The sequence below is a fragment of the Homo sapiens genome, chromosome 12 (genome assembly GCF_000001405.40).
Source record: "Homo sapiens chromosome 12, GRCh38.p14 Primary Assembly".
NCBI classification, from domain to species: Eukaryota; Metazoa; Chordata; class Mammalia; order Primates; family Hominidae; genus Homo; species Homo sapiens.
The window spans coordinates 4248691-4276640 of NC_000012.12; the positions used below are offsets into that span (position 1 = coordinate 4248691).

The following is a 27950-nucleotide window of genomic DNA, read 5'->3' on the forward strand; positions in this document are numbered from 1 at the left end:
ATCATATCACTGCATTCTAGCCTGAGCAACAGAGCAAGACCCCAACTCTAAAAAATAAAAATAAATAAATAAAATATACCAGAAATGTGCTTTATTTAAAGAAGCATGGCAACAGAGTATCTGGCTAAGTGACGGATCTTTTGTGAAGGGTATACCTTCCTCCCCAATGTATTTGTGGCTTCAGATTTGCTTAGTACAGTAAAAGGTCAATTGACCAAAACACTCAGAGTTTGCAGAAGTTCTTCCAAACTTCATTTTTACGAGTGGAATGTTAAGGGAAAAAAAGTCCTTTATGTTTCTCTTGAAATCAGGTAATTTCTCTCAAAAACAGGAGTCTACTTTCCCTTAGGAAGGCTAGAGCGAGGCATGCAGTCTTCTTGGTGATCTTGCAGGGTTCCAGCTTGAGGTGGCCACAGGGCACCAGCTCTCAGTGTCCGGAACTAGAGAGGCAGACAGCACAGGTAGAGATCAGGAGGAGTCTGTTGGTTTTATGGTAGATTCTTCTGGAAGTGGGGGACAAAAGAAAGAGGGCCGTTAATGAAAGCTTCTGATTGGCTGCCTCAGTTACAGGGCTTTCCTGCATCCTTCATTCCCAAATGGGCTTCTCACATTTCTCCTTGTTACCTTAAGGACTCGGAACATGGCCGGGCATGGTGGATCACACCTGTAATCCCAGCACTTTGGGAGGCTGAGGCAGGCAGATCACTTGGGGTCAGGAGTTCCAGACCAGCCTGGCCAACATGGTGAAACCCCGTCTCTACAAAAATACAAAAATTAGGCAGGCGTCGTGGTGCACGCCTGTAATCCCAGCTACTCGGGAAGCTGAGGCAGGAGAATTGCTTGAACCACGGAGGCAGAGGTTACTGTGAGCCGAGATCATGCTGCTGCACTCCAGCCTGGGCAACAGAGTGAGACTCTGTCTCAAAAAAAAAAAAAAAAAGACTTGGAACAAAGTTTTCTAATACATGGCCTGCAAATCTCTCTCTCATTTCTTCCAAAAAGCACCTGATTTTGTCTACCAAGGATTCAACACTATTTTGTCCTGTTAAGGGCACCCTGTCTCACTGATCATTAAAAAACCAACCTAGAAATGTCTTTGAACAGTCAGTAAAAGCCCACATCTTTTGAACAACTACTGTATACAGACACTGGCCGGGAGCTACGGGAGATATAAGGGAGTAAAAAAGACTCTGACTTCTTTTGGTTGAGACACAAACCAGGGACAAATCACAGATTTTGATGGCTGGGGTTCCAATATTGTGTTTGAGTCCCAGCTCATCCTGTAGCCACTGAGCACTTAGGCCCCCATTTCCTTCTCTGTAATATGGTGATAAAAACAACATCAACTCATGGGGTTCTTGGGAGAATTAAATGGATAACCCCATAAAGCAGTTACAGCGGTAGGTGGCACATGGTAAGTGTTCAATAAATGTTGTCTGATCATCTGAGAAATGTACTCATGCAAGAAGCCGCTAACACCAGGAGATGCCACACCAGCGAGGTCACATGATACCTAATAGCCAAGGCCAAACGAATAGTAGAGAGGGTATATTTGCTGCAGGAGAATAGGGTATGAGTGTTCTTGGGGGCACCAGGACCAACTGGGCCAGCTTCCAGAGTGTCTGAGACTTCTGTCACCCAAATGACTGGTTTGAGCCACAGCCCACCCAGGGATGAATGTGGAGCAGCCTGGACCTCAGCACACTTGGGGTTTCTGTCCCCCAAAAAGAACTTGGAGTCTTACGGGTGTGGGGGATGGCTGGTCAGGAAGGGATTCGCAGAGTGGAGTCACTGGCGCCAGGGACTCAAAGATGGACAGGATTCCCAAAGGTCAGGGGCAGAGATAATAAAGAGGCCAGCCTAAGGGCAGCCCGTCTACTCTTTCTAGAGGCCCCCTTGATGGTCACCTCTTCCAGGGTTGAACATTATGCACTGTTGGGAACGGATTCCTCTCTCTCCCTGAAATTCCCCAGCTGCTGCTCAAACAGAAACCTACTTTTGCTTGCCTGGCTCTTGGTGGAGCTGTTACCTACATCCCCTCTCCTAAAGAGCAGCCCTTCTCAGAGCTGAGGGCTGAGGTCCCATCAGCCCTTCCCTCGGGCTTTCTCCTCTCCCGAGGACCATGTTCTGCTGGCCTCCTGGAAGCCATGACTCGCCTTTGTGCACGGCCCAGCACAGAGAAGCCAACCCTCGAGGGGACTTTGAGGTCTCCCCTGGCAGGGACCCAGGCTTGTGGCTGCTGTGTAGTTGCTGTCTCCACCGCCTCCACCTTCCAGAGCTGTAGGGGACACAGCTGCCACTGGCACCCCTTCCCAGTTCAGCTCAGAGACTTTATTCTCAGGACCCTGGCATTCCACTCTGGGCCATCGCGGGGGATTTCAAGTGAAAAACAAAACAGAACAAAAACTGAGGAATGTCTTCCTCGGTGAAACAGAAGCCCAGCTCTGTCACTTACTAGCTGGGTGACCTGGGGAAAATTACATGACTTTTCTGTGCTTTGGTTTCCCAATGTATTAAACAAGGATAATAGTAATTTCTATTGCGCCTGTTTGGAGGAGTGAGTGAGTTGATATAAAGGATGCGTTTAAAACAGTGCCTTTTACAGCATTAGGGAACTATTGGCATGTTGTTCTTTTATAGTGGTTAAGGGTGCAGGGTACTGAATCAGGCAGACGGTGGAGACATCAATTCACCTCTCTGAGCTTCAGTTTCTTCATTTTCTTAAAATGAGGGTAATGACAGTACCTACCCGTTAGACTGTGGGAGGACCAAATGAGGTGATGCACGCTGGTGGTTTTATGTGAATGATTTAGCGCAGTCCTTGGCATGTAGTGAACCAGAAAAAGGCTTACACCTTTAAAAGAAAGAAAGAAAGAAAGAAAAATCTTGAAAGAACAAAGGAAGGAAGGGAGAGAGAGAGAGACCAAGAGAGGGAGGAGAGGAGGGAGGGAGAAAGAAAGAAGGAGAGAAAGGGAGGGAGGGAGGAAGAAAGAGAGAAAGAGAGAGACAGAGAAAGAGAGAAAATAAAAGATAGAAGGAAAGAGAGAAAGGAAGGGAGGGAGGGAGGGAGGGAGGGAGGAAAGAAGGAAGGAAGAAAGGAAGGAAGGAATGAAGGAAGGAAGGAGAAAGGGAAGGAAGACAGGGAGGGAGGAAGAAAACCCTGGCTGAAAAAATAATGACCAAACTCATTAGAGATCTAAGACAGGCAACCCAGCCTCCAAAATGCAGCTGGCTACAACAGCGCCTCCAGTCTGCAGCCTCCTCCAGAGTGGTCTCCACGCTGGGTTATCCTCATGCCCTCTTACTGTTCCTGGTCTGGGGTCTTGCACATCATAGCCACTGAAGTAAACAAGTGTCAGATGAACAGCATGTTTAAACATGTCTACTCAGCCCCCAGGAAAACAGGGGAGGAAAAAGAATCCTTTTAGAATGTTACTCTACTTGTTCAACACACAGGGTTCTACCATCCAAGAGGTGGCTGTGTGAGGGTGGCAGAGATGGCATGAACCAGCCACCGGGCTGTTGAGGGTAGTAGTGAGTGCCCAGGCTTTGGCTTTTGAGAGACTGTGGTTCATGTCTTGATTCTGCCCATTTCTGGCTGCAGGATTTGGGCAAGTTTCTTAATCTTTCTAAGCCTCAGTTTCCCTCATCATAAAATGGAAATTGTAAAACTTACCTCATTAAGGAGTTGTGAGAATTAAACGAATTATTTGTAAGATACAGACAGTGCCTGGTAGAGGTAAGTGCTTCATATATTTGGGCTGTTGTTGTCAACCCTGGATTTCCCAAAAACCTGAAGACAGCAGGGCATTCTGTACATTAAGTTTTAGGGAAAATCTTGTACCTTCTTAGTTTTTCTGGTTGTGGGGCAGGAGAAAAGGGGTGTGGTCATGACCTGAGCCCCTGGAGTGCTTCTGCCCAGCATCAATGACATGTGCCCACCCTGCTTTGGGGTCATTTTGCTCCTTTGGCTGCAACTGTCATTCCCCTCACCATCAACACCCCCTCCTTCTGCAGAGACGGTGAACACGCTGGCATTGTTCCTTCCAGCCAATGGCTTCTCTCTGGCCTGTGATTGGTACCCCCCAGATTCCAGTGCAATCCAGGCATCCCAGCTATGTCAGCGTGACTCAAATTGTGTGTGCCTGACATCCACATGGCCCCGTAGAAGGCTGGCTCCAGCAAGAGGGCATTTGGAACGCTGCTGAATGCTTGATGGCTGCCAAGTTATCTTTTTGGGGTTAGGCCATTAAAGTTGCATCTGATGTTTTATGGAACAAACCAAGATAAACTGCATGTTGAAATCCATGAGACATGAAGAAGATTTTTACAGATGAAGACACAACGGCAGCTAAAGTTAGGTGGGTTTTTTCCCCCTCAAAACTTTGTAGTTTTTCTTCCACACGGCTATTTCAAAGCAGAAGCAATCCTCAAAAGTGAAGCATAGACGCTGCCATAGTAACAGGTTCAGCGAGACCTGGAGCTGCTGGGGCACCTGGAAAGAACATGGATCTGTCTCTCCGCTCTCATCATCCCAACCAGAGTCGTCTGCTCCATTCCTAAATTCTCTACTCAACTTTCCTCACGTACCCTGACGAAACGTCCTTTTCTGTGCAAACCTAAATTTGTCCTGGTGCTTTTTAATGCATCTCCCAGCCCTCTCTATTCTCATGCTACTTGCAAGCGACCAAGGAGCCAGTCACTCCACCCAATTCCTGGCCCTCTGGGCACACTGTGCACCTTCCGACTTTTGTTCCTGGGCTTTGTCACCTTTGTCCAGAGCACCCTTCCTTTCCACTTCTGCCCACTGTTCATCCAAGCAAATGGTCCAAGAAGAGTCCACTCAAATAACAGGCATACTGCCAGGCAACGATACGATAAGAAAGATTAGCAGACCAAGTATCAGAGCCTTTTAACCCTTGAACCCAGGACTCAAGCACACCTCCTCCAGGCAGCCTTCTCAGTCATCCCCTCGACTGAACCCCTCAGTCTCCCTCTTTTTGCACTCCCTTAACCTTCAATTGACCCCCGTCTCCCTAAGTAAAAGCTGTGTGTGTGTCTGCTTCCCTCCAGACTGTAAGGCTGTTGAAGATGGAGACCTCAAGATGCTCATTCTCTTTCTTGGACCACTTAATTGATAGAATCAGGACTTCAAGCTCTTTCTCCTTCCACTGGCACTTGAATGCATAAAGAAGCAAGTGCGACGATGCTGATGGCACATTATGTATACAAGCAAACAACTGGTGAAGGAGGGCCCCCAAATGCCATTAATTATGGGAAGTCGTAAAATTCTGGCATATCCTTGCTATTGAAAAGCATTCTGCACTTAAAATGAATGAAGTAGATGTATATGTACTGGCATAGCAAGACTCCAAGAGATGATTATTCACTGAAAAAAATCAAGTCACAGAACAATATGTTTGGCATGATCCTATTTAGGTTTTTAAACTGTTAAGTTCCAAAAAGAAAACCATCAGGATCTCTCTGATGTGACTGAGGAAACGATGAGTTATCTGAAAATGTTGGGAAAGTGAGAAATCATAAAAAATGAATCATACATACCATACACATTTTATTTAAAGTTAATGTACATTTATTTACCAATCTCTTGGTAGCAGTCCAAAGCTTTTTGAGTCTGGGTCTGTTGATTAGAGCTGTATACCATTTTACTGAGTATGTAAGCCATACTCAGAATGCATTGTCTAAGACTTCTAATTTCATTTTCTTTAAAGTGGGATGACAAAAAGTTATGGATACAGTAATTTGAGCACAGGATCCTAAATTATGCTATGTAGAGGCTGTGTGATCTACATAAGTTAAATATCATTGTTGAGCATAAATTTCCAATCTGCAACACAGGGCATTAATAATATACCCACAGGTAACTGATAGGAAGAATGATGATCCGGTGTGTACAATCCCTGGTGCTCAATAAGGATGAACTAGTCTATTAACTATTTTACTTTCCGCTCATTATAGGACAGTAAAAAGACAAAGCAGCAGCAGGCCATCATCCTACCTGGGACTCTGGCCACCTCCTCTTTCTGCCTTAAAGATGCTCAAAGTCTGGGCCGGGCACGGTGATTCACCGCTGTAATCCCAGCACTTTGGGAGGCTGAGGTGGGCGGATCACCCGAAGTGAGAACTTTGAGACCAGCCTGGCCAACATGGTGAAACCCCAGTCTCTACTAAAAATACAAAAATTAGCTGGCGTGGTGGTGCATGCCTGTAGTCTCAGGTACTTGGGAGGCTGAGGCAGGAGAACACTTGAACGCAGGAGGTGGAGGTTGCAATGAGCCAAGATTGCACCATTGCAACCTAGCCTGGGCGACAGAGCGAGACTCCTCCATCTCAAAAAAAAAAATGCTGAAAATCCATAGATACCAGGGTGAAATTAGTATCCAATATGAAGTGTGAATGGACGAGAACCTGCTATATGCCAGATCTGTACTAGGTGGAATGGCAGCATACTGCTCAGTAAGTTCATTTTAGTTCATTTTTGTTCCAAAGGACATTATGATCTAATGACAAAGGTTTGATATACATGGGAAGATGATAGTAATAATAATATACAGTATCAATGAGGATATCGAGGATATTTTCAGTTACAGATGATTTAAAAAACTAACAAATTAGCTTAAGTACCAATTTATTTTTTGAAACAGGGCTTCGTATGTTGCCTAGGCTGGAGTGCAGTGGCTACTCATAGGTATGATCATAGTGCACTATATCTTCAAACTCCTGGCCTTAAGCAATCCTTCTGCCTCAGCCTCCTGAGTAGTTGGGACTACAGGTGCGTGCCACCCCACCTGACTTAAAAGTATGCATTTTTTTTGGCCGGCCGCGGTGGCTCACGCCTATGATCCCAGCACTTTGGGAGGCCGAGGCGGGCGGATCACAAGGTCAGGAAATCAAGACCATCCTGCTAACATGGTGAAACCCCGTCTCTACTAAAAAATACAAAAAATTAGCCGGGCGTCGTGACGGGCGCCTGTAGTCCCAGCTACTCGGGAGGCTGAGGCAGGAGAATGGCATGAACCCAGGAGGTGGAGCTTGCAGTGAGCCGAGATCACGCCACCGCACTCCAGCCTGGCCACAGAGCGAGACTCCGTCTCAAAAAAAAAAAAAAAAGTATGCATTTTTATTTATTTTTTTAGAGACAAGATCTCACTATGTTGCTCAGGCTGGACTCAAACTCCTGAGCTCAAGTGATCCTCCCACCTCAGCCTCTTCAGTAGCTGGGACTACAGGCAACTATATGCATGCACAACCGTGCTTGGCTCCCCAAATTTTTAATTGGCTCAAGCAACGAAAATTCCAAAGGTCAATGGGACTTCAGGAGATAGCCGATCAAGCCTCTGGTTCTAGTTCCTTTGCTCTTCTCAGTTCTTTCTTACTACATGTGTCAGCTTTGTCCTCAAGTTGACTTCCCTCTAGTTAAAAAAAAAAAAAAAAAAAAAAACCTTGGCAATTCCAATTCCAAGCTTCATACCTGAGGCCACGTCATCTGCATCCTGCAAGCCACTCTAAACTAGTCAAGTGCATGTACCCAACTCTGACTCAATCACTCTGCAAGATGGATGGGATTATGTTGATCATCCTGGGCCAATCAGGGATTACCCCAAGATCTGGTGAAGGAGTCAATTTAATGTGTGCTTCTTTCATGTGTCAGGCATTGTGCTACTTGCCTTTACATGGATTATCACATTTATCCTCGTAACAACCCTATGAAGTAAGTGCTACTAGCAGTTCCTGATTATAGTTGAAGAAACTGAGGCCCAGAGAGGTTAAGTAACTTTTCTGTGGTTGCACAGCCAATAAGTGGTAGAGCCAGGATTCATACTTTGGCCCTCTGTCTCCAGACCCCACATTCATAACCACTAGACCACAAAGTCTGCCAAGGGGCAAGTCCCAAGGTGATGGCTGATGTGCAGTGCAAACATCACTCTCTGGGTAAATTGGGAGGGAGGAGCACTTGGCCTGGTGTGATGATGACAGGTTAGGGCTTGAGCTAGGTCTTAAGCAAGGGTGGGAAAGTAAGATCAAGTGAACTTTCAGAGATGGGAATCATGTAGCAGAAATAACAAACACAGTGGGATCAGACAGACTGTCAAGTTTGCTGCTAATAGCTGAGTGAACTTCATCAAATTATTCACTTCTCTGAGCTCATAAGTGAAATAAGAAGCCATGAGAGTGAATCAAAGGCCCACGGGAAAATCTAAAGTGAGAAGTAGGCTGAGAATAGGATCCTGGAAACCCTGAACAGGACCAGTAAAAGTCAAGCCAAGTCCTATGGGAAAATAGAAAGTCCCTTGGAAGGGTACACATACAAAGGATTCGCTATAGTGACAAATCTAGAGAAAGTATTCTAATCTTCCTTACAATTTCCTGCCAGCCCAGGAAACAAGAAAGAGGAAGATAAAGATGAAGCCTCAGGCATTATAAGACTATACTAATAAAGATAGCTTTTTACAATCATCCAATTCCGGAGCTGGATAGGACAACAGACAACCTGCTTATTGTATAGATAAGAAAGGAGACACATTTTGAACACTTATATGAAGAGGCATATAGGCAAAGTGCCTGGCACAGTGCCTCATAAACAGTAGGTACTCAATAGTGTAAAATATTATTGGTGAATAATAGTTATTATTTTCATAAGGGACTTATCCAAGGCCTCGAAAGTTGATTAGTGACCAAAAAAGATAAGAATCCATGTCTTTTAATGTCTAGTGCAGTTTCTTCATCACTCTGAGCTTTTTTCTCTGATGAAAGGTGCCAGATGCCACTGAAAGAAGGGAGAAGAAATAGCAACCTAAAGTAGGAAAAACTATCAAAGAAGGAAAATGTTGGAATAAACACTGAACAAGTAGTTTGAAAACCAAGATTATGAATCTTGGTCTGCCATTAACTGGCTCAATGACTTAACCAGCTCAGGCCCCAGTTTACTCATCTATAAAAGTAGAGATTTGAATAAGATCATCTTGGTTTCCTTCCAACTCTGAAATTCTATGAAAGTAGGTTCCTCTCTTAACATTGCAGTAGCCTTCTTTATAAAAGATATAAATACATTCTAGGAAAAAAATGTATAGGGACAAGGCCACATAAAAAACTGAAAGTAAGAAAAGGCATGAGAGTTGGCTTCAAATATCTGGAAAAGCTTCTAGTCATATATGTGTCAGGTATATGTTGTGTGAGGCTCCAGATAACAGGAATAAGATCCAGGAGTAAAAGCAACACAGAGGCAAGTTTCTGTCCAATACAGAACAGATTTTTTTCCGTGTATTTTGGAGCTCTGCTATTAGGTGCATATATGTTCATAATTGTTAGGTCTTCAGATGGACTGACCCTTTTATCATTATAAAACATTCTTTTTATCTCTAGTAACAATTTGTGTCTTAAAGTCTATTTTGTCTGGTATTTGCGTGGCAACTCCAGCTCTCTTTTGGTTATTATTTTCATAGTATGTATTTTTTCCATCTTTAAACTTATTTGCTTTTTAAAGTATGTCTCTTACAGACAGCATATAGTTGGATCATATTTTCTTTTATCTATTTTCTCCCTTTTGATTAGAGTGTTTAGTCCATTTACATTTAATGTAAGTATCTATCAGGTAGAATTTATGTTTGCCATTCTGCTATTTGTTTTCTATATACATTATGTCTTTTTTGTTGTTCTGTTCCTCTGTTACTGTCTTCTTTTGTGTTAAATGTCTATTATCTAGTGTGACATGTAGATTCTTTTTCATTTCCTATATTTTCAAAATTATTTTCTTACTGGGTGCTCTGGGGATGACAATTAACACTTAAATTTTAAACAATCTAGTTTGGATTAACACCAACTTAATTTCAGCACTATATAAAAACTTGACTCCAAGCTTAGCTCCCTCCCCTCTCCTGTGTTATTATTGTCATAAAATTACACCTGTATATAAGTCCATCAACACATTTAAAATTATTGCTTTATGTAGTTAGTTGTCTTTTAATCAGATAGAGAAAAACAATTACAAAAAAAAGAAAACTTACATTCATATTGCCTTATATATTTACCTGTGTTGTTGCATTTAGCAGTGCTTTTTATGTATTTATATGGATTTGAGTCACTGTCTAGCATCCTTTCATTTAAGCCATAAGAACACCCTTTAGTATTTCTTGTAGGAAGGGTCTACCAGCAATGCAATCTCTGTTGTTTTTAAAAAAAATCTGGAAATGTCTTAATTGTGCCTTCATTTTTGAAGAATAATTTTGCCAGATATAGAATTATTGGTTGACTGTATTTTTCTTTCAGTGCTTTGAACATGATAGCCCACTACCTTCTGGCTTCCATGGTTTCTGATGAGAAGTCAACTGTTTAACTCATTGAAGATTCCTTGTATGTGATGAGTTGCTTTTTGTCTTGCTGTTTTCAAGTTTCTCTCTTTCTTTTGAAAGTTTGACTATGTTGTGTCTAGGCGTGACTCTCTTTGAGTTTAATCTACTTAGAGTTTGATGAGCTTTTTGTATGTGTAATGTTTTAAATAAATTTGGGATTTTTCAGCCATCATTTCTTTAAATATTCTTTCTGCACTTTTTTTCTCTCCTCCTTCTGACACTCCAATTATGTGTATGTTGGTAGGCTTGATGGTGCCCCACAGGTCTCTAAGACTCTGTTCATTTTTCTTCATTATTCTTTTTTCTCTGTTTCTCAGACTGGATGATCTCAATTAACACAGCTTCAAGTTAGGTGATTCTTTCTTCTGCTAGTTCAAATCTGCTATTGAGCCCCTGCCTAGTGATTTTTTTTCTTTTCTTTTCTTTTTTTTTTTGAGACAGAGTCTCACTCTGTAGCCCAGGCTGGAGTACAGTGGTGCAATCTCGGCTCACTGCAACCTCCATCTCCTAGGTTCATGCCATTCTCCTGCCCCAGCCTCCCGAGTATCTGGGACTACAAGTGCATGCTGCCATGCCCAGCTAATTTTCTGTATTTTTAGTAAAGACGTGTTTTCACTGTATTAGCCAGGATGGTCTCGATCTCCTGACCTCGTGATCACCTGCCTCTTCCTCCCAAAGTGCTGGGATTACAGGTGTGAGCCATCGCACCCGGCCGTGAATTTTTTATTTTAGTTATTTTACTATTTGATTTCAGAATTTCTATTTGGTTCTTTTAAAGAATTTCTTCCTCTTTACTGACATTCTCTATTTCTTATATTTTAATTCTTTAGAGATTGTTTCATTTAGTGCCTTGAACATATTTATATTTGTAATAGCTAAAGTCTTTGTCTAGTAAGTGCAACATTTGGGCTGCCTCAGGTACAGTTTCAATTAATTGCTTTTTTCCCCTATGCATAGGCCATATTTTCCTCTTTCTTTGTGTGCCTCATAATTTTTTATTGAAAACCAAACATTTAAAATAATACAAGGTAGCAACTCTGGAAATCAGAATCCCCCAACATCCTGCTGAATTTATTGTTGTTGTTTACTTAGTGATTTTCCTGGACTAATTCTATAAAGTCTGTATATTTGGTCGTGTGCAACCACTAAATTCTCTGTTTGATTTGCTTCCTGGTCAGCTAATGATTAGACAGAGATTTCCTTAAATGCTTTAAACCAATACATTTCCCAGCCTTTGCTGGAGGACTCTGTATCTGTTGGAGCATGCCTTCAACAATCTGGTGGGAAGCTTAAAGTTCTGTCCACTGTCACTTTCTACCTGCACAGAGCCTCCAGGTCAGCTGGTTTGGTGAAAGAGTAGCACCTTCTCAGGTCTTTCTTGGGCATGCACAGAGCCATAGACACACATGTGATTTTCTAGATTGTCAAGAATATGTTAGAGCTTTTCAAAGTCCCTGATGGACAGCACATTCACCTGTTCTTCTTTTTCCTTTTTCTAGTCAGCCTCTTGGTAGCACCAACTGGTATCACCACTTCAGGTAGTTGAAAGATAAGTTCAAAAGTGACTTTGAAAAGGCAGAGAAATTTGAGAAGGTGAGAAAACAGATGCAAACCCACCTAGGGACGCAAAAGTCACAGGTCTGGTGAAAAGCAAGGTACCCGATCCAAAAACCCAAAGTAGGGAGCATCATTAAAGCAAAAGTAAGCAATAAGAAGTATCTAATGTCATTCATAGGGCAGAATTCATTTGTGAAACAATAAGTGAATGAAATATTGTCAGAAAACAGAAAGAATGAAAAAATTGTAACAATACTGCTTAAATGAGAAGAATCCCTGCAAAGTCTTAACTTCCGTAGTTTTAGTAGTGAGGCACGCTAATTTAGTCCCAGCTCTGTCACTAAAAGGCTGTGTGATCCTGGGTGCATGTGAGCTGCTGTCCCTCTCTGATCTGGAGTTTTTTAAGGAAGCAATGTTTCCTAAATCTTAGTTATTTGCATACAACCTTCCTGATTTAAAAAACCTGTATCTACGTATCACTTATTCAAATTAATTTTTTAAAAATCAATTCCCTTTATAAAGTTAAATACCATCATAATATCTGTGAAATTATGAGTTTAAATGTTACTTTTTTCCTAATACTCATTAGAATAAACCTCAAATTACTAAAATGCAAAATGCATGCTCCTCCATATACCTCCTCTGATATGATTTGGCGGTGTCTCCACTCAAATCTTATCTTGAATTCTAATACCCATAATCCCTACGTGTCAAGGGAGGGACCCAGTGGGAGGTGATTGGATCATGGAGGCAGTTTCCTCAATGCTGTTCTCATGATAGTGAGTGAGTTCTCGTGAGATCTGATGGTTTTATAAGTGTCTGGCATTTCCCTTGCTTGCACTTCTCTCTCCTGCTGCCATGGGAAGAAGGTCCTTGATTCCTCTTTGCCTTCCACCATGATTCTAAGTTTCCTGAGGCCCCCTCAGCCACATGGAACTGAGTCAATTAAACCTCTTTTCTTTATAAATTACCTAGTCTCGGATATGTCTTTATAGCAGTGCAAAAATGAACTAATATATCCTTCCTCATTTTGGGAAACATTGGATTGGATGCCTAAGGTTCTTTGCACTTCTGGGATTCTGTGGATGAGTTTTTCCTGTGCCTTCTACTCAAGTTGGAAGGTTACCTCTTAGTACATGTCAGTGAGCATGTAGTAATCTGGAGTTCAGAATAGACTGGTTTGAGATTACAGCATGTTGGCCACAGTCATTGAGTGACTGATCCATGGTGAAGTGAAAAAGTAAAAACCCCCCAGAGCTGAGATCTGGTACAGAAAGTCCCATAGCTTCACACAGTATATGACATACATTAATAATTCCACACACTCCTAGAGGTAAATTGGTTCTGAAAGAACACAACACAATAGACTTTAATTACTTTAAAGTTTAAAAAACCCACTTAGCTTTGTTTCAGTGCTTACTATGCCAGGGCACTGTATTAAACATACTATAAACATTTACTCATTACAATCACCCTGCTTGGTAGGTATTATTATTCCAGTTTTACAGATGAGGAAACCAAGGCTAAGAGCAAATAAATGACTATTCGGTCCCCTCATAACATCCTAATGAGTTGCCATAGGCACTTTACCTGATTCCTGAAGTCAACCCCACTGTGCAGGGATGACTTGCAGAGGAAGCTCATTATACAAACAGAAATCTGTCTTTTCTTTTGAGACGCAGTCTCGCTCTGTTGCCCAGGCTGGAGTGCAGTGGCGTGTTCTCAGCTCACTGCAACCTTCACCTCCCAGTTCAAGTGATTCTCCTGCCTCAGCCTCCCACGCAGCTGGGACTACAGGCTGCGCCGCCACACCCAACTAATTTTTGTTTTTTTAGTAGAGACGGGGTTTCACCATGTTGGCCAGGCTAGTCTCAAACTCCTGACCTCAAGTGATTTGTTCCCCTCGGCCTCCCAAAGTGCTGGGATTGCAGGTGTGAGCCCCCACGCTGGGCCCAGAAATTTGTCTTCTAATGTTTAATCAGTGACACTAGTTTTATTCTTTGGGGCCACAGAATACAGATGAGGTAAAATGATCCCTCATTTAGTTCACCTGATTTACAGATGAGAAAATGGAGTGCAACCTGGGGTTTCATTAATGAGATCAGCTTCCAGAAGAAGAGATAACTATTTTATCTTTCCTCTCTAGACCAGTATCCCCAGTGGTACTGGAGGAGGCTTGTTCCAGGAGCCTGGGGTGGAGAATGCAAAGATGGCAGTCACGCCCTATTGTATTCTTCTGTAACTGCCTTGATGGTCCGAGGTTTCTGAAGTTGCTCCAAATTGCTCTCTCTCATTAGCCACACATTAAGAAGGACACAACACTTTAAGATGGATACCAGTGAACTAGTCAGGATCCAGAGGAGGGCAGCCTGCTGGTGGTCTAATGTCCAGCTGAACAGCTAAAGAGAAAGGGTAATTCAGTCTAAGGGACAGAAGATGAAGAGATGGCGCTTTCAAATATCTGAGCAGCTGTCAGTATAAATGAGGGAGATGGCTTGTTCTGCCTCGTTTCAGTGGCTGGAGACAGCACTTAAGGGTAAAAATTGCCAGGAGGTAGGATGTTTGGGCCCCTAACTAGCTGTGTGACCTTTAGTAAATCATTTAACTGAATAGGTACTGCCATGATAGATGGGAGTATGACCTCGGAGACCTATGAAGTTTCCTTATAATCATAAGTTGCTGTGATCTTGTTTAAGTCTTGCCCCAAGTTACACAGCTTGTGGCAGAATGAGGACTAGAATACATCTCTCCTAACCCCAAATCCAGCACTCTCTCCATGCCATATACCATACATTTTACAAATTATCTAGCACTCTCTCCATGCCATATACCATACATTTTACAAATTATCTAGCACATTGTTTAAAAACCATCTCAGATATAATTATTCATTAATTACTATGAATTTCTCTTTTGTAGGAGCCACACCTTAAAAAGGAAACGTGTCTACAAACATATCATTCTGTAAAGCAAATAATTTGCATGTAAGTGGACTTTACTGGAGTGCATGTAATCTCAATAGATGATGTTTCTCCCATGTTCAAAGCAATGAAAAGTGAGGGAGAAAAGTGGGATACAGCAGAAATCTTTCCTTGCTTGTTTCTGGTTATCAAGACTTGCCAGGAAACAAAAGGGGATGTCTTGTCCAAAGATTGCAACTCCGCAAAATTTGCTTAATTCCCTTTTCACTAAAGGAGCAAGCTGATGCTCCATGGTTCTGGGTAGCTCAGAACGAGCTTTGTTTAAAGAGGCTCACCAGGTCCATGGACTGTCACCTAAAGAAGGATCTGCAAGTTAGGGTCCATTCCAAACCGTGTCTATATGCGCTCTGATGGGGGCTCTGTTTGAATTGTAGGAATAAGCTTTAGGTTAGTTTAAGCTTTAGGTTAAACTAACCTGCTAAGATTTCCTTAAGCACCCTGGAGCAGTGTTATAGTCCATATATTCTTATGCTCTCTATATTTTTGAAGACCGCTATTCTATTAACTTAGGCAGTTCTGTTCCTTAGGACAAGGAAAACAGCATTTTTCCTCAGCCGACATGTACCAAGTGCCCATCTATATGAGGAACTAAATGTTAAAAGTTCCAACTCTTGATAGATTAATTCTCCCAGATACCTGGGAAGTGAGAGCATACCTAAACCCACAATTTAAGAATCCTTGTTTAAAACATAAAGTATATAATAAATTGATTCCGATTTTGATGATGATAATAAAGTCACTGGAATTTTATAGATTTTGAGCTGAAAGGGAACTTAACGATCATTTACTACAGCCAGTTAATTTTGTAGCTGAGGAAACTCAATCTTGGAAACACATAATCTATCCCCAAGGTCACAGTGCTGGTTAGTGCAGAGTAGAAGCAAGAAAGAGGGTACAGTCGGCCCTCTCTATGCATGGGTTCCGTATCCACAGATACACCCAACCACGGATCAAAAATATTCAGAGAAAAAAACACAGTAAAAAAATAACAAATGCAACAATGAGAAGTAATACAAATAAAAACACAGCATAACCGCTTCCAAAGCATTTACTTTATATTAGGTACTGTAAGTAATCTAGCGATAATTTAAAGTGTATGGGAGAAGTGTATAGGCTATATGCAAATATTACACCATTTTATATCGGATTTTTACATCCTGGATTTTGGTGGTGGGGTGGGAGTCTTTGAACCAATATCCCCACAGACACTGAGGGATGGCTGTATTCTGACTTCTAGGCTAGAGCTGTTTCACCAACATGATGCTAATAAAAAGGACAGGATTTTCTGCATCAATTCTAGGAGACAGTCAAGCTAATAATCAGAGGTCTATATTCTGCTCTTAATGTCTGGGTGTCCCAGGACAAGAAAATGAGCTATTGTGACCTCAAATTCCCTAGCCAAAGGAGTGAAACACTAATCAATGCCCTGTCAGATACAGGGAGGGCTCGTTCAGACGAGAAACAGATGCTGTGGGAAATACAGCTACTCAAAGAAAGGAACGCTCTCAGTATGATGGACCAAGGAAACGGCTCTATCTTTGGCTACTTTAAAGGGACTGAGTCCCATATATGTGATATGTGAATCAGACATCCAACCAACTCGTTCCCATAGAATATAAACAAATTAAGAACATAATTTAGGAACATAATTCTTAAAATCACTATGCAATCCAAGTAACAGTTACTTGACTAGACTGAGTTTTAAAGAAAAGATAAATTTCCACCTCCCTGGTTTAAGGTATGTTGTGGAAGGTGGATAAAATAGCATATCTTCCTATGCCTTTTGTTCTATGATTTTATTATTTTTTAAGAACATGTACTTATCCGGGGTATTATTTCCTATGCTTCATCACTAGACAATGTGCTTCCCAGGGACGCGGACTGTGTGATTCAACTCTCCTTCCTGTCTACCTTCCAAAACATTGTCTATGTCCACGATATCCCCAATGCCTAGCATAGTGTTTGGTATGTGGTAAGGACTCAATTTTAATCAAATAAATGAATGGATAAATTGCAAAACCCAAAGGCATTCTCCAAAGCACAAAAATCTCAGCATATTTAACTCTTCCATTAAAACCACTTAAATTCTACCTTACAGATTGGAATCATACCCCTGACATGTTCTGATGTATCTCTGCACAGACCTGTGATGTTATCAGTTTAACACATATGTGATCTCTCAGCATGAATAACCTTAATGAATACTATATAGAGTTTCAGTCGCAAACTTCCAGACACAGAAGGCGTATTCTGTGACTGGCCAAAATGGCATGAGGTCCTGCAGTCCATTCCCCTGGCTCCAAGCAAGACTGCATCTAATCTATGGTTGAGAATGATGCTTTCCTGAATGGGAAAGGTTTCCACTAAATGAAACATACAGTCTGCCTTGGTAAAGTCTTAAGTGTCTGAATGGAAGGTCAGACTTTGATTTCTTGAGGTAAGTATGGTTTTCATCCCAAGTGTAGCAAATTTCACTGGCGTTCCATTACCGACTTACTTAAATCATTTGCTAGATGACATAAAATTGCTGGTAATTACACTACAAAGAGTGATTATATGAAGTTTTCTTGTACAAAAGCAAGTAAATTTGAGCCTTATTCAATATTTTGTTAGGGAAATTTTAAATTAAATATGCCATTTTATTTAAAAAGAGAAACATTAGAAGAATATATATTCAGAAGAAAGTAGGGGGGTAGAAAAGGTTGCAAGTCACTAGTTTACTGGAACTACACAATGGGGATGATGTGCTGCTACTTGATACAACTAAATTTCCTGAGTTTAAATGATTTCAGTGAGACCCCCACACAAAACGGCCTGCACAGCCCTAATCCATGATCTAGGCTCGCCTCTCTCAAAATATTTTTTTAAAATAATGGTTCACGATCCTGAAATAATTGGTGGCCATGGGATGCCAGATGTGAGACATTTCATCTGAAACCTTATGTAAACTAACCCAAACCATTTGCTTCAGAATATCTTCCTTGACACCAGGAAAGAGTTTGGGTCCTGGGTTTGCATTTGCCTGATGGACTGACTGGCTGCTCTCAAAAATGGAAACATATGTGGGCACGATGAAGGAAAGGCTTTGGAAATTATGCAAAGAAATTTTCTTTTCCTTTTTAATCCTGTCTTTTTTTTTTTGCTTCCCCTAGGCAATAGGTATATTAAATGTTGGTGACTTTTTATTTTCAAAAGCACAAAATTAAATGTTTTTTGTGTTATTTCTCAGAACAATAACCTAACTTTGGCATCCATACTTTTTTTTTTTACAATTTGATGACAATGTTTAAAGAAATAAAGTGAACATCCCCCCACACACACTCACCGAAAGAATAAGGAAGATAATTTTTATTATTATCATCATCATAATTACTATTATTACCAATGAAGCTTGAAGGAACTCACCTTTATACATCACAAAGAAATAATTATTTGGTTTACAACTGATGAGACCACAACGAAAGTATGATTTGAGATAGCTAAGAGCAGAAATAAATTTGGATTTTTTTTGCTCTAATTGCACCTTCCACATAAACCCCCTTTGCTCTGGATTTGTGCTTTTTGAGTTGTTTGCATCATGCATAGGTGCAGACTTTGTTTCAAGTTCTTGTAAGAGCAGATGCCCTTATTTAAGGCTGAGTAAAGAGGAAATGCATTCCTTATAGGCATCTACATCCAACTGGCTTGGATTGTCTAGCACACTTACACGAACTACCTATTTTCAGGTCAATTCTAAAATAGAACATATCTCTCCAGAGGTACACATTTTGAAGATTATAAAACTTTACAGTCAACCTGTTTCACATTTCAGAACTCATTCCTTTTAATGCCAACAAAAGAACAACAAGAAAATGATTTTAGAAAAATTTTAAATCTGCCTCCTGAAATTTGCCACAAGGAAAACAAACCAAAAAAAGCCTCAAGAAGAGAACTATTTCTCTGTTTTTTTTATTAATTTGTTTTTTTAAGTTTGGTAAATATGAATTTAGCATGTTATGGAATTATGTTATAAACTGTACTAATAGATGCTAGTAATTCTTAAGTTTAAAGATTGAAAATTAAAATATGAAATATTTATTAGAAATACTTTATATTGCTTCAATTGGCTGCAACTGATACACAGCTGAATAAAACCATGAAATCGAAAGAATATTTAATCACATTGGGAAAGTGGACATTTTTAAGGGGAATGAATGTTTGAATTTGGACAAAATTAAAGTGCTTAGAAAACAAATAAAATTGACTATTGTTCAAAAAAAAATTCTGGTGAGGATAGTCTTGACATTTTACAAAGAATTTACATCTCTAAAGTGCTTAACTTAACCTCCACTACTTAACTGTCTGAAATGAAGGTGAAGCTAAATTTAAAGGACATTTTGCTTTTTTAGTTTTTTAAACACTTCCTTTGGCTCCTTCCTTTTCTTTTAATAATTTATCCTATTTTTTCTACCTTTATGCAGACAAACCAAGTGTCCATCAAATCAGGCACCAAAAAGCAAGCACTCTTAAATACAGTTCACTCAGGCTAATCATGACAGTAATTACTGACATTTTTATTAATTATAGCTCATTTTTTCCCCCAGAAGAAACAAAACCAAGTCTCTTGGGTCAGACCAGCAATCATAAAACGAAAAAGAAATAAATAATAAGTTAAAAATAGAGGGAATGTGTTAAAAAGAAGGAAAAAGTACTGTTCATAACCAAACTGTGTCACCTTAAAAAAGAAACATTTCCACACTTAATATCTGATTCAGACAGAAAGCTTCTCTCCTACTTTTGAAACAAATAATTCCACTTCAAATCCACATTTTCAGACACCCCTAGCTTTCTGCATCTGATTCCTACAACAGCCCCTTTACCTCAAAGAGGTAAAAGTCAGTTCACAGTATTTCTCTCCCAAACATCCCCACTGAAGCTCCTTGTAAATTTCAGCATAAACTCAGAACTGTCACCGTGGGTTTAGAAAATAATGACACATTTCAGCTATAACCCCCCAGATTGAAAGATTAAAAGGACTTTGCCCAAATTTAGGGGAAATGAAGGTGCGTGGGCTCACTCTGCAGCTGCAGTTTTCAGCCCTTGCAGTTTAGAAGATTCTGCATGAGCACGGATGCCACGAGGGTATCCAGCGAGTGGGAAGGGAGTCGCCCTACATGTTTTCACATCGATTTGTAAAACTGTTTTGAAAGGGTATTTCTAGATCCATTTGTTCCAAATGCAGCAAAATTCATCCGATATCGCTCACAATGCATGCACGGGTTATCTTACATGTAATAGCCATCGTATTAACCAACCCAGCTGATACTGAGATGGTGAATGGGGCGGGGGAGCAGGGAGGAATATGTCGCGCATGAAAAACTCCGGGTGTAAAAGTCAATGCAGAACTCACTCCCCGAGGAACCGAAAAAGACATTCACGACTCTCAAGTGGAGAGAGGATAGAAAGTCAAGTGGCGGGGGTCGCGACCAGTGATCGGGATTTCAGTCTGATCTCAGTACCCAGCGGAACAGGACCATAACCTAAAGAAATGAGCTTTTTCCGGAGCAAAGAGCGGCCCCGATTTCAAAGTAGAAAAAATAAACTGCTTGGGGGTGGAAGATGGCGAGGGGCGGGGGGCGGGGAGGGAGGCGGGTCGCGGCGCTGGCTCCGGGGTCCGCGGCACGGCCTCCTCTGCCGCGCTGCCCAGGGCCCGGACCCTGCCCGGCGCTGCGCCCACCGCGAGGGTGCCAGACCCGCCGCGCCGCCGCCGCGCTCTCCCAGCCGCGGCCCCCTCCCCCGCCGCTTCCTCTTGCTCTCCCAGCCCCTTCCCCCACGTGTGGATGACGTCAAAATTCCGCGAAAAAGCCGCGTGGTGGCTCCCCGAGCGGAGGCGCGATTCCGCCGCCCAGCGGCCCCCTCCCGGGGGCGCCTGGAGGGGGAGAAGGGCGGAGGCGGCCGGTTCCTTCTCCTCCCGGGAGGCAGGACCCCCCGACGCCGACCGCCGGACGCCCCCCGCCCCAAAGCTTATTGGAAAATTCACTTTTGTAAAGCAAATGTATTTCCAGAGCTATTTTCGGCCGCGTGAGGCGTGTCCTAAGCTGAATCAGACAGGAAGAGGGGGAAGTTCGGGTCTTTTAATTTTTTTTTTTTCCGAAGGGAGGGGAGTGAGATGCTAGGTGGGTGACAGACGGCAGGCGCTCGCCTTCTTAACTCACGCCTGTCGCATCTGCCGCCTCAGTAATCCAGCCCCGTCCAAGCCGAAATTCGCCGAAGGGAGTGCGGATGCACAGGCCTGGCGGACTCTGCCCCCCTCCAGAACGCAGCGGCCCAGCGCCCCGGCGGGCGCGGCTGCGACCAGAGGGTCCCGGAAGCGAGTGAACACCTGCAATCGCACTGCCCGTCCCCACCCACCCTGCTCCCCCGTGCTCTCCGCTTCCCGACGTTTTCCTCTTCTCCTTGTCCGCATTTTTCTACTTTGCCTGCACTCCCTCCTTCCTCTTGATGTGCCTCCTATGTGTCCCCTCGGATTTATGTGTCCCCTCGCATTTTGCCAGTCGGGTTTTCGGTTTTGATTGACCGTCCATCCCTCCACGGAGAAACACAAACACAGCTCCACTCTTTGGGGGAGCCGAGGGGAAGGCAGTGGCTCCCATTTCTGAGCCTGAACTCAGTCACTACCCGCTCCCCACCTGGCCTAGGCGCCCCTGCGCGGAGAAGGCGGGACTCGAACTCGCGCTGCTCCCGGGCCTTGAGCCGACCGCGGAATCACCTGGCTGGGAGGCATCCTCCAGGTAAGCTTGGGAGTATGTGTGCTTAGTGCTGCAGGCTCCTGCAGAAAAGTGCCTATAAACACCCAACACCCTGCTGCACCCTCCACCTCCAGGCTTTGTACACTTTCCAACCGAAACTCCAAAACGCTAGCGTAGAGGGTGGGGAGCCGGCCGGAAAAAGAATAAAAGTCCAATAAAACTGGCGTTCGCTAAAGTTTATCACCAGTCCTACATGGGATATATATATATGTATTTTTTTTTCCGTGAAGGGTGAAAAGGAGATAAGGAAGAACCAACAATCTACCCCCTCCCGCCGCCCCCCACCCCCGCGCCACGGTGATCAGTTTGGACTTCAAAGCCAGAGCACAGGCTCTTGCGCTTTTTCTTGAAACCGAAGTCTACACTGAAAGAAAGTGTGCACTTTTGCCTAGAAGGCAACATGCGTTTTCCCGCGTGCTAGGTGGAGTGCATTTTAACAAGACATTAGGGTTTTAACACATGGCTGGAGTGGCGACCAAAAGGGAAAACTCAGTTTCCAGTCCAAGCCTCCTAGAGACATTCCTGCCAACCTCCGCACCCTCTCACGCCCCACCCCACGTGTGAGAGTCTGCAAAACCACCGGGGATTGGATTCGATGGCGAGCTTCACGCTCGGGAACAGTCAGTAATCGGAAGGGGAAGTGGACAGGGGAACTTCAAGAGGCGAGCCTGCCACGCGGGAAGCGCCCGAACTTGCGGGTCTCCATGAATGCAGAGGGCGCCGGGAAGGGGGGGCATCCGGCCGCGACCCTCTCTGCCCCTCCCATTCGCTGCCCCCCTCCCCGCTGGAATTTCTCTGTAAAGCAAGACGGAGTAGGGGGAGGGGGAGAGGGAAGGGGCGAGAGGGCCCTCGGCTCACTCCCGAGACGTGAGGACTCGCCACCCAGGCATTCTCCTCGGGGTGGGCTGGGCCCCGGGACGACCACCCGCTTCTTCCTCGCCCCCGCTGCCCCCACTTCGGGAGACCCAGAGCTCTGGATGCCTTTCCCCGGAGAAGGGGGGGTGTGCGGAGTCGGGGTGGAAGAGACCTTGCTCGCAGAGCTATATCAAGTGATGTCCAGAGGCTGGGAGCCCCGGCGGCCTCTGTCCCTTGCCTGTCGGGTTAGATTTATACTTTAAAAATACCTCCCGCCCTCCCTCCTTCTCTCGCCTCTCCCCGCTGCAACTTTCTTTGATCCGCTCAAAGGTGGCTTAGGTGAAATTGGAGTAATTCCCTTATGGGGGTCTTAAAATGTAAGTGAATGTCCTTATCCGGGGTGACTCAAAAGCTTAAGTCGGGAAGCCCAACGTGACTAAAACCAATAGGTGATTGTTCGGGGCCGACTGTGTGCGGGTGTACACGGTATTCGGCCCGGGTGTCATCCGCGGCGCTGGACTGTTTCATTTTGAGTTTGCAACTTGGGTTTTTCAGCGAGCTTTTTTTCTTCCTGAAAGCTAATGGCTTCCACAGCAATTAGACATTTTCCTCGCCCGCCCCTTCCCTCCCCTTTCTTTACATATAGGAGATGGGATACTCATTCCCGCTGCTATTGATAAGGTCGGAGGCGGCCGGGCCTCTCCCCAGCTTTCGCCCGCCCCAGCGCCCGCTCTCCCTCCGCCCTCCCTTGGCTTCCTTTTGATGTAGTGGGGAACGCGTCCTACTAAAAAAAAAAAAAAAAAAAAAAAAAAAAAGTAATCTGCCCGGTAACAATCAGCGCGCAGTAGCAGGAGCCCCAGAGCTATTGGCTATGCAAATAGAGGGAGGGGAGACGGCGCCCCAAACTCTTCCTCACCCTTTTAAAGCGATATCCCCTCCTTTCCCCCCCACCACCCCTTCCGCCCCACCCTCGTTTAAAGAGGCTGGCTCCGGGGCCTGAGTTAATCGCTTGCACCTCTAGTTTATTCGCTCCCCTCCTCCGCCTTGCAGGGAACCTAGTGTACGGCTCACCCAGCCCGCGCCCCACCCCGCCTTGCTGGCTCTCCGCGCCCCTGCCCGGGCCCCCTCTCTCGGTGAGGGAGGCACTCAGTCGGCCTCGGTGTGCCCAGAGAGCTCGAGCCACGCCATGCCCGCTGCACGTGCCAGCTTGGCCAGCACATCAGGGCGCTGGTCTCTCCCCTTCCTCCTGGAGTGAAATACACCAAAGGGCGCGGTGGGGGTGGGGGGTGACGGGAGGAAGGAGGTGAAGAAACGCCACCAGATCGTATCTCCTGTAAAGACAGCCTTGACTCAAGCATGCGTTAGAGCACGTGTCAGGGCCGACCGTGCTGGCGGCGACTTCACCGCAGTCGGCTCCCAGGGAGAAAGCCTGGCGAGTGAGGCGCGAAACCGGAGGGGTCGGCGAGGATGCGGGCGAAGGACCGAGCGTGGAGGCCTCATGCCTCCGGGGAAAGGAAGGGGTGGTGGTGTTTGCGCAGGGGGAGCGAGGGGGAGCCGGACCTAATCCCTCACTCGCCCCCTCCCCCTCCCGGGCCATTTCCTAGAAAGCTGCATCGGTGTGGCCACGCTCAGCGCAGACACCTCGGGCGGCTTGTCAGCAGATGCAGGGGCGAGGAAGCGGGTTTTTCCTGCGTGGCCGCTGGCCGCGGGGGAACCGCTGGGAGCCCTGCCCCCGGCCTGCGGCGGCCCTAGACGCTGCACCGCGTCGCCCCACGGCGCCCGAAGAGCCCCCAGAAACACGATGGTTTCTGCTCGAGGATCACATTCTATCCCTCCAGAGAAGCACCCCCCTTCCTTCCTAATACCCACCTCTCCCTCCCTCTTCTTCCTCTGCACACACTCTGCAGGGGGGGGCAGAAGGGACGTTGTTCTGGTCCCTTTAATCGGGGCTTTCGAAACAGCTTCGAAGTTATCAGGAACACAGACTTCAGGGACATGACCTTTATCTCTGGGTATGCGAGGTTGCTATTTTCTAAAATCACCCCCTCCCTTATTTTTCACTTAAGGGACCTATTTCTAAATTGTCTGAGGTCACCCCATCTTCAGATAATCTACCCTACATTCCTGGATCTTAAATACAAGGGCAGGAGGATTAGGATCCGTTTTGAAGAAGCCAAAGTTGGAGGGTCGTATTTTGGCGTGCTACACCTACAGAATGAGTGAAATTAGAGGGCAGAAATAGGAGTCGGTAGTTTTTTGTGGGTTGCCCTGTCCGGGGCCCCTGGCATGCAGGGCTGGATGGAGGGAGAGGGGTGGGGGGTGGCGGGGGACCGCGTTTGAAGTTGGGTCGGGCCAGCTGCTGTTCTCCTTAATAACGAGAGGGGAAAAGGAGGGAGGGAGGGAGAGATTGAAAGGAGGAGGGGAGGACCGGGAGGGGAGGAAAGGGGAGGAGGAACCAGAGCGGGGAGCGCGGGGAGAGGGAGGAGAGCTAACTGCCCAGCCAGCTTGCGTCACCGCTTCAGAGCGGAGAAGAGCGAGCAGGGGAGAGCGAGACCAGTTTTAAGGGGAGGACCGGTGCGAGTGAGGCAGCCCCGAGGCTCTGCTCGCCCACCACCCAATCCTCGCCTCCCTTCTGCTCCACCTTCTCTCTCTGCCCTCACCTCTCCCCCGAAAACCCCCTATTTAGCCAAAGGAAGGAGGTCAGGGGAACGCTCTCCCCTCCCCTTCCAAAAAACAAAAACAGAAAAACCTTTTTCCAGGCCGGGGAAAGCAGGAGGGAGAGGGGCCGCCGGGCTGGCCATGGAGCTGCTGTGCCACGAGGTGGACCCGGTCCGCAGGGCCGTGCGGGACCGCAACCTGCTCCGAGACGACCGCGTCCTGCAGAACCTGCTCACCATCGAGGAGCGCTACCTTCCGCAGTGCTCCTACTTCAAGTGCGTGCAGAAGGACATCCAACCCTACATGCGCAGAATGGTGGCCACCTGGATGCTGGAGGTAGGTCGGGGGGTGGCGCTCGCCAGGAGCCAGGACCCCTCCGGATGCTCGGGTCCCCGGCCGGAGCCCTAAACCTGGGAGAGGGCAATCCCCGCGCCGGCCTCCCGGCTCCTGTGCGGGAGTTTACCGCGCGCCTTCTGGCGAGACGCGTGGCTTTATTTCTGTTCCTCTCCAGATAAACTGGGGAGGCAGAGGGGGGAGGAAAATCTGGGAGAAGCGAGGCTGTCCTGGGCGGGGGTAGGGGAGCATCCCGCGCGCGTGTTCCTGCATGTGGCTGCCTCTTCTTCCCACCCCCCTCGCGACCTGTCTTTTGCGAAGCCGCCGCGGCTGCTTGCGCTGCGGCCAGGAAGAGAGTCGGGGCCTGAAATCGGGACCCCGAGTAGAAAGGCAACCCCCCCCAAAAGGCCAGAGCAAATTCGTCTTGGCCTCAGGTCCCCGCCTGTGGTCGCGACTCCGCGCTGGCACTTCACCGGGGAGGTGGAGGGAGGAGGGAGAAGGAGAGAAACGGGGAATTCGGGAGCCCCGGAAGTCCCATTGAAGAAACGCGTGTTTCAGGGGAACCCAAAAGAACCGCTTCTTGCCCCTCACTCCAAGTCTTTGCCCAGCGAGCCGTGTGCCCACGTATGCACAGCTCTGGACCTGCCGTGGTTTCGCCATGTTGCTTTGCAAACTCCCTTTGGAAAGGCTGGGAAACGTCGCCCGCTTACCCTCGCACCCCATTATCCCGGCCACCCCACTTCTAATCGTGCCCTCTCCCCCACCCCCCACCTCACGAAGATTACTTACAGTTTGGTTTTCCAGCTTCCTCGGTGCGGAGATTTGGGTGGGGTAGGAAGGGGGGGAGGGGGTGTGTGTAGGGGGGATACCGGGTCACCCCTGAAGGAGAGGTGGGAGCCCCCCGTGCCTCTTTCCAGGGCTCTCTGCTCCCGTCTTTCCCCTCGCTCGTCACCGCGTTCCCTAGTTTCTGTCCTTGTGGGCCGCAGCCGGACACTCCCGCCGCGGCGCTCACCCCTTCAAGTTTCCTCCCGGGATCCAAAGCCCCAGGGGTCGGAATACAGACCTTTCTGGCACCCGAAACCTCTGTTTCGGGAAGCCTGGCTCTTCTTTGGGGTTTTCACGCCAAAAGGGCTTTTCTAGGATATTTCCTCGATTTTTAATTATTTTTTGAAACCATCCCCCCCTGCTCCGACTCCAGCTGCCGAGGCTGCGGCGCTCTTCCTCCTCTCCTCCCTCCCCCTCTCTTCCCCACCTCTCCTCACCCGCCCCCCCAAAAGCGGCCCCTGGGCCGCAGGGACCCCCCCAGACATTTTTTCCAATTGTCGGGAATGATAGAGGAGGATCTGGGGATCCGGATGAGACCAAGAAGTGGACCCCCGGAGCCTCCAGAATATTTTTATTGATTTTTTGAAAAGATGACGAAATCCAAAAAAGAGTGAGTGAGTTAGAGTGCGCGAAGGAGTAGCCAAAGGGAGCGTCGCGGAGCTGCCGCGGCTGCTGCGCACTTCTCCGACTCCCCGTTTTGGAGCTGTAGTTCACCCCCTTTTATAGGATCCCTGGGAATACCAAAGCACTGATGGGCTATTCTGATTCACTCCAGTTTCCTCATCTTTGTTCTTTATTCTTATCACGCATTCTGGTCCCCTCCCCCTCCCACAAAAAAAAATTAATTTTTTTTGTTTCGATAGATTACGCTTTTTTATTCTTTTTCTCTTTTGCTGATGCTATGCTCTCCACCCCCGCCCCCCAACCCTTTCCCACTCCCATTATAGGTCTGTGAGGAACAGAAGTGCGAAGAAGAGGTCTTCCCTCTGGCCATGAATTACCTGGACCGTTTCTTGGCTGGGGTCCCGACTCCGAAGTCCCATCTGCAACTCCTGGGTGCTGTCTGCATGTTCCTGGCCTCCAAACTCAAAGAGACCAGCCCGCTGACCGCGGAGAAGCTGTGCATTTACACCGACAACTCCATCAAGCCTCAGGAGCTGCTGGTAATGACCGGCCCCTTCCTCCCTTCCTTTCTGCGATTCCCGCTTTCCCCTGGCCAACAATATGCCTTCTATCACCACTGCCAGAGCAAATTCTTGGGATCCAGAATGACCCCACCAATAGAATTTACCCACTTATGGGCGATAGCTCATTTAATAGGAAACCACTGTTTATTTTTTGTGTGTTCCTACTATGTGCCCAGGCTCCGTGCCCAGCACTGAGGCTACATCTGTGAATAAGATCCTCATGGAGATTTGGGTTGGTGAGACTCATTTGCAATTGTGTATGCATGTGTGTAGGGGACGCATGGAATATTTTAATTAACAGTGATAATATTTTAATTAAATTCCAAATTTCCAAAAATAGTCTGAGAACGTGTTCACATGATAGGTATGTGGCTGTGGTGTCTCCTAAAAACTTGG

The 27950-nt window shown here is 45.8% G+C and overlaps 1 protein-coding gene and 1 long non-coding RNA gene across 4 annotated transcripts in view, besides 7 other annotated features; one reads left to right on the top strand and one right to left on the bottom strand.

Annotated features, from left to right (window-relative positions):
- Positions 1 to 76: 76 nt before the first annotated feature.
- CCND2-AS1 (CCND2 antisense RNA 1) lies at positions 77 to 27494 on the bottom strand. 3 transcript variants are annotated; one of them, NR_149145.1, is made up of 4 exons: positions 26606 to 26787; positions 3677 to 4495; positions 2750 to 2854; positions 77 to 503 (listed from the first exon to the last, which is right to left on the bottom strand). It is a non-coding gene; the product is annotated as a CCND2 antisense RNA 1 (long non-coding RNA). The 3 variants fall into 3 exon arrangements; NR_125790.1 differs by lacking the exons at positions 2750 to 2854; positions 3677 to 4495; positions 26606 to 26787 and adding an exon at positions 27369 to 27494; NR_149146.1 differs by lacking the exons at positions 2750 to 2854; positions 3677 to 4495.
- Positions 20689 to 20898: a silencer, noted in NCBI's record as "silent region_4147". NCBI's record gives its function as "represses an Ori minimal core promoter by ATAC-STARR-seq in GM12878 lymphoblastoid cells {active_cell/tissue: GM12878}" and the evidence as "EXISTENCE:reporter gene assay evidence [ECO:0000049][PMID:35858748]".
- Positions 20909 to 20978: a silencer, noted in NCBI's record as "silent region_4148". NCBI's record gives its function as "represses an Ori minimal core promoter by ATAC-STARR-seq in GM12878 lymphoblastoid cells {active_cell/tissue: GM12878}" and the evidence as "EXISTENCE:reporter gene assay evidence [ECO:0000049][PMID:35858748]".
- Positions 22493 to 22562: a silencer, noted in NCBI's record as "silent region_4149". NCBI's record gives its function as "represses an Ori minimal core promoter by ATAC-STARR-seq in GM12878 lymphoblastoid cells {active_cell/tissue: GM12878}" and the evidence as "EXISTENCE:reporter gene assay evidence [ECO:0000049][PMID:35858748]".
- Positions 23187 to 23378: a silencer, noted in NCBI's record as "fragment chr12:4381043-4381234 (GRCh37/hg19 assembly coordinates)". NCBI's record gives its function as "represses an EF-1alpha promoter that drives an FKBP-Casp9 reporter gene in an ReSE screen in K562 erythroleukemia cells {active_cell/tissue: K562}" and the evidence as "EXISTENCE:reporter gene assay evidence [ECO:0000049][PMID:32094911]".
- Positions 23363 to 23482: a silencer, noted in NCBI's record as "silent region_4150". NCBI's record gives its function as "represses an Ori minimal core promoter by ATAC-STARR-seq in GM12878 lymphoblastoid cells {active_cell/tissue: GM12878}" and the evidence as "EXISTENCE:reporter gene assay evidence [ECO:0000049][PMID:35858748]".
- Positions 24263 to 24382: a silencer, noted in NCBI's record as "silent region_4151". NCBI's record gives its function as "represses an Ori minimal core promoter by ATAC-STARR-seq in GM12878 lymphoblastoid cells {active_cell/tissue: GM12878}" and the evidence as "EXISTENCE:reporter gene assay evidence [ECO:0000049][PMID:35858748]".
- Positions 24913 to 25002: a silencer, noted in NCBI's record as "silent region_4152". NCBI's record gives its function as "represses an Ori minimal core promoter by ATAC-STARR-seq in GM12878 lymphoblastoid cells {active_cell/tissue: GM12878}" and the evidence as "EXISTENCE:reporter gene assay evidence [ECO:0000049][PMID:35858748]".
- The window catches only part of CCND2 (cyclin D2), a 31592-nt gene continuing 28713 nt past the window's right edge, over positions 25072 to 27950 (top strand). Inside the window, exons 1-2 of the mRNA NM_001759.4 lie at positions 25072 to 25545; positions 27315 to 27530. Coding sequence (NP_001750.1) covers positions 25351 to 25545; positions 27315 to 27530 — 411 coding nt within the window. The 5' untranslated portion in view covers positions 25072 to 25350. The remainder of the gene's footprint in view (positions 25546 to 27314; positions 27531 to 27950) is intronic.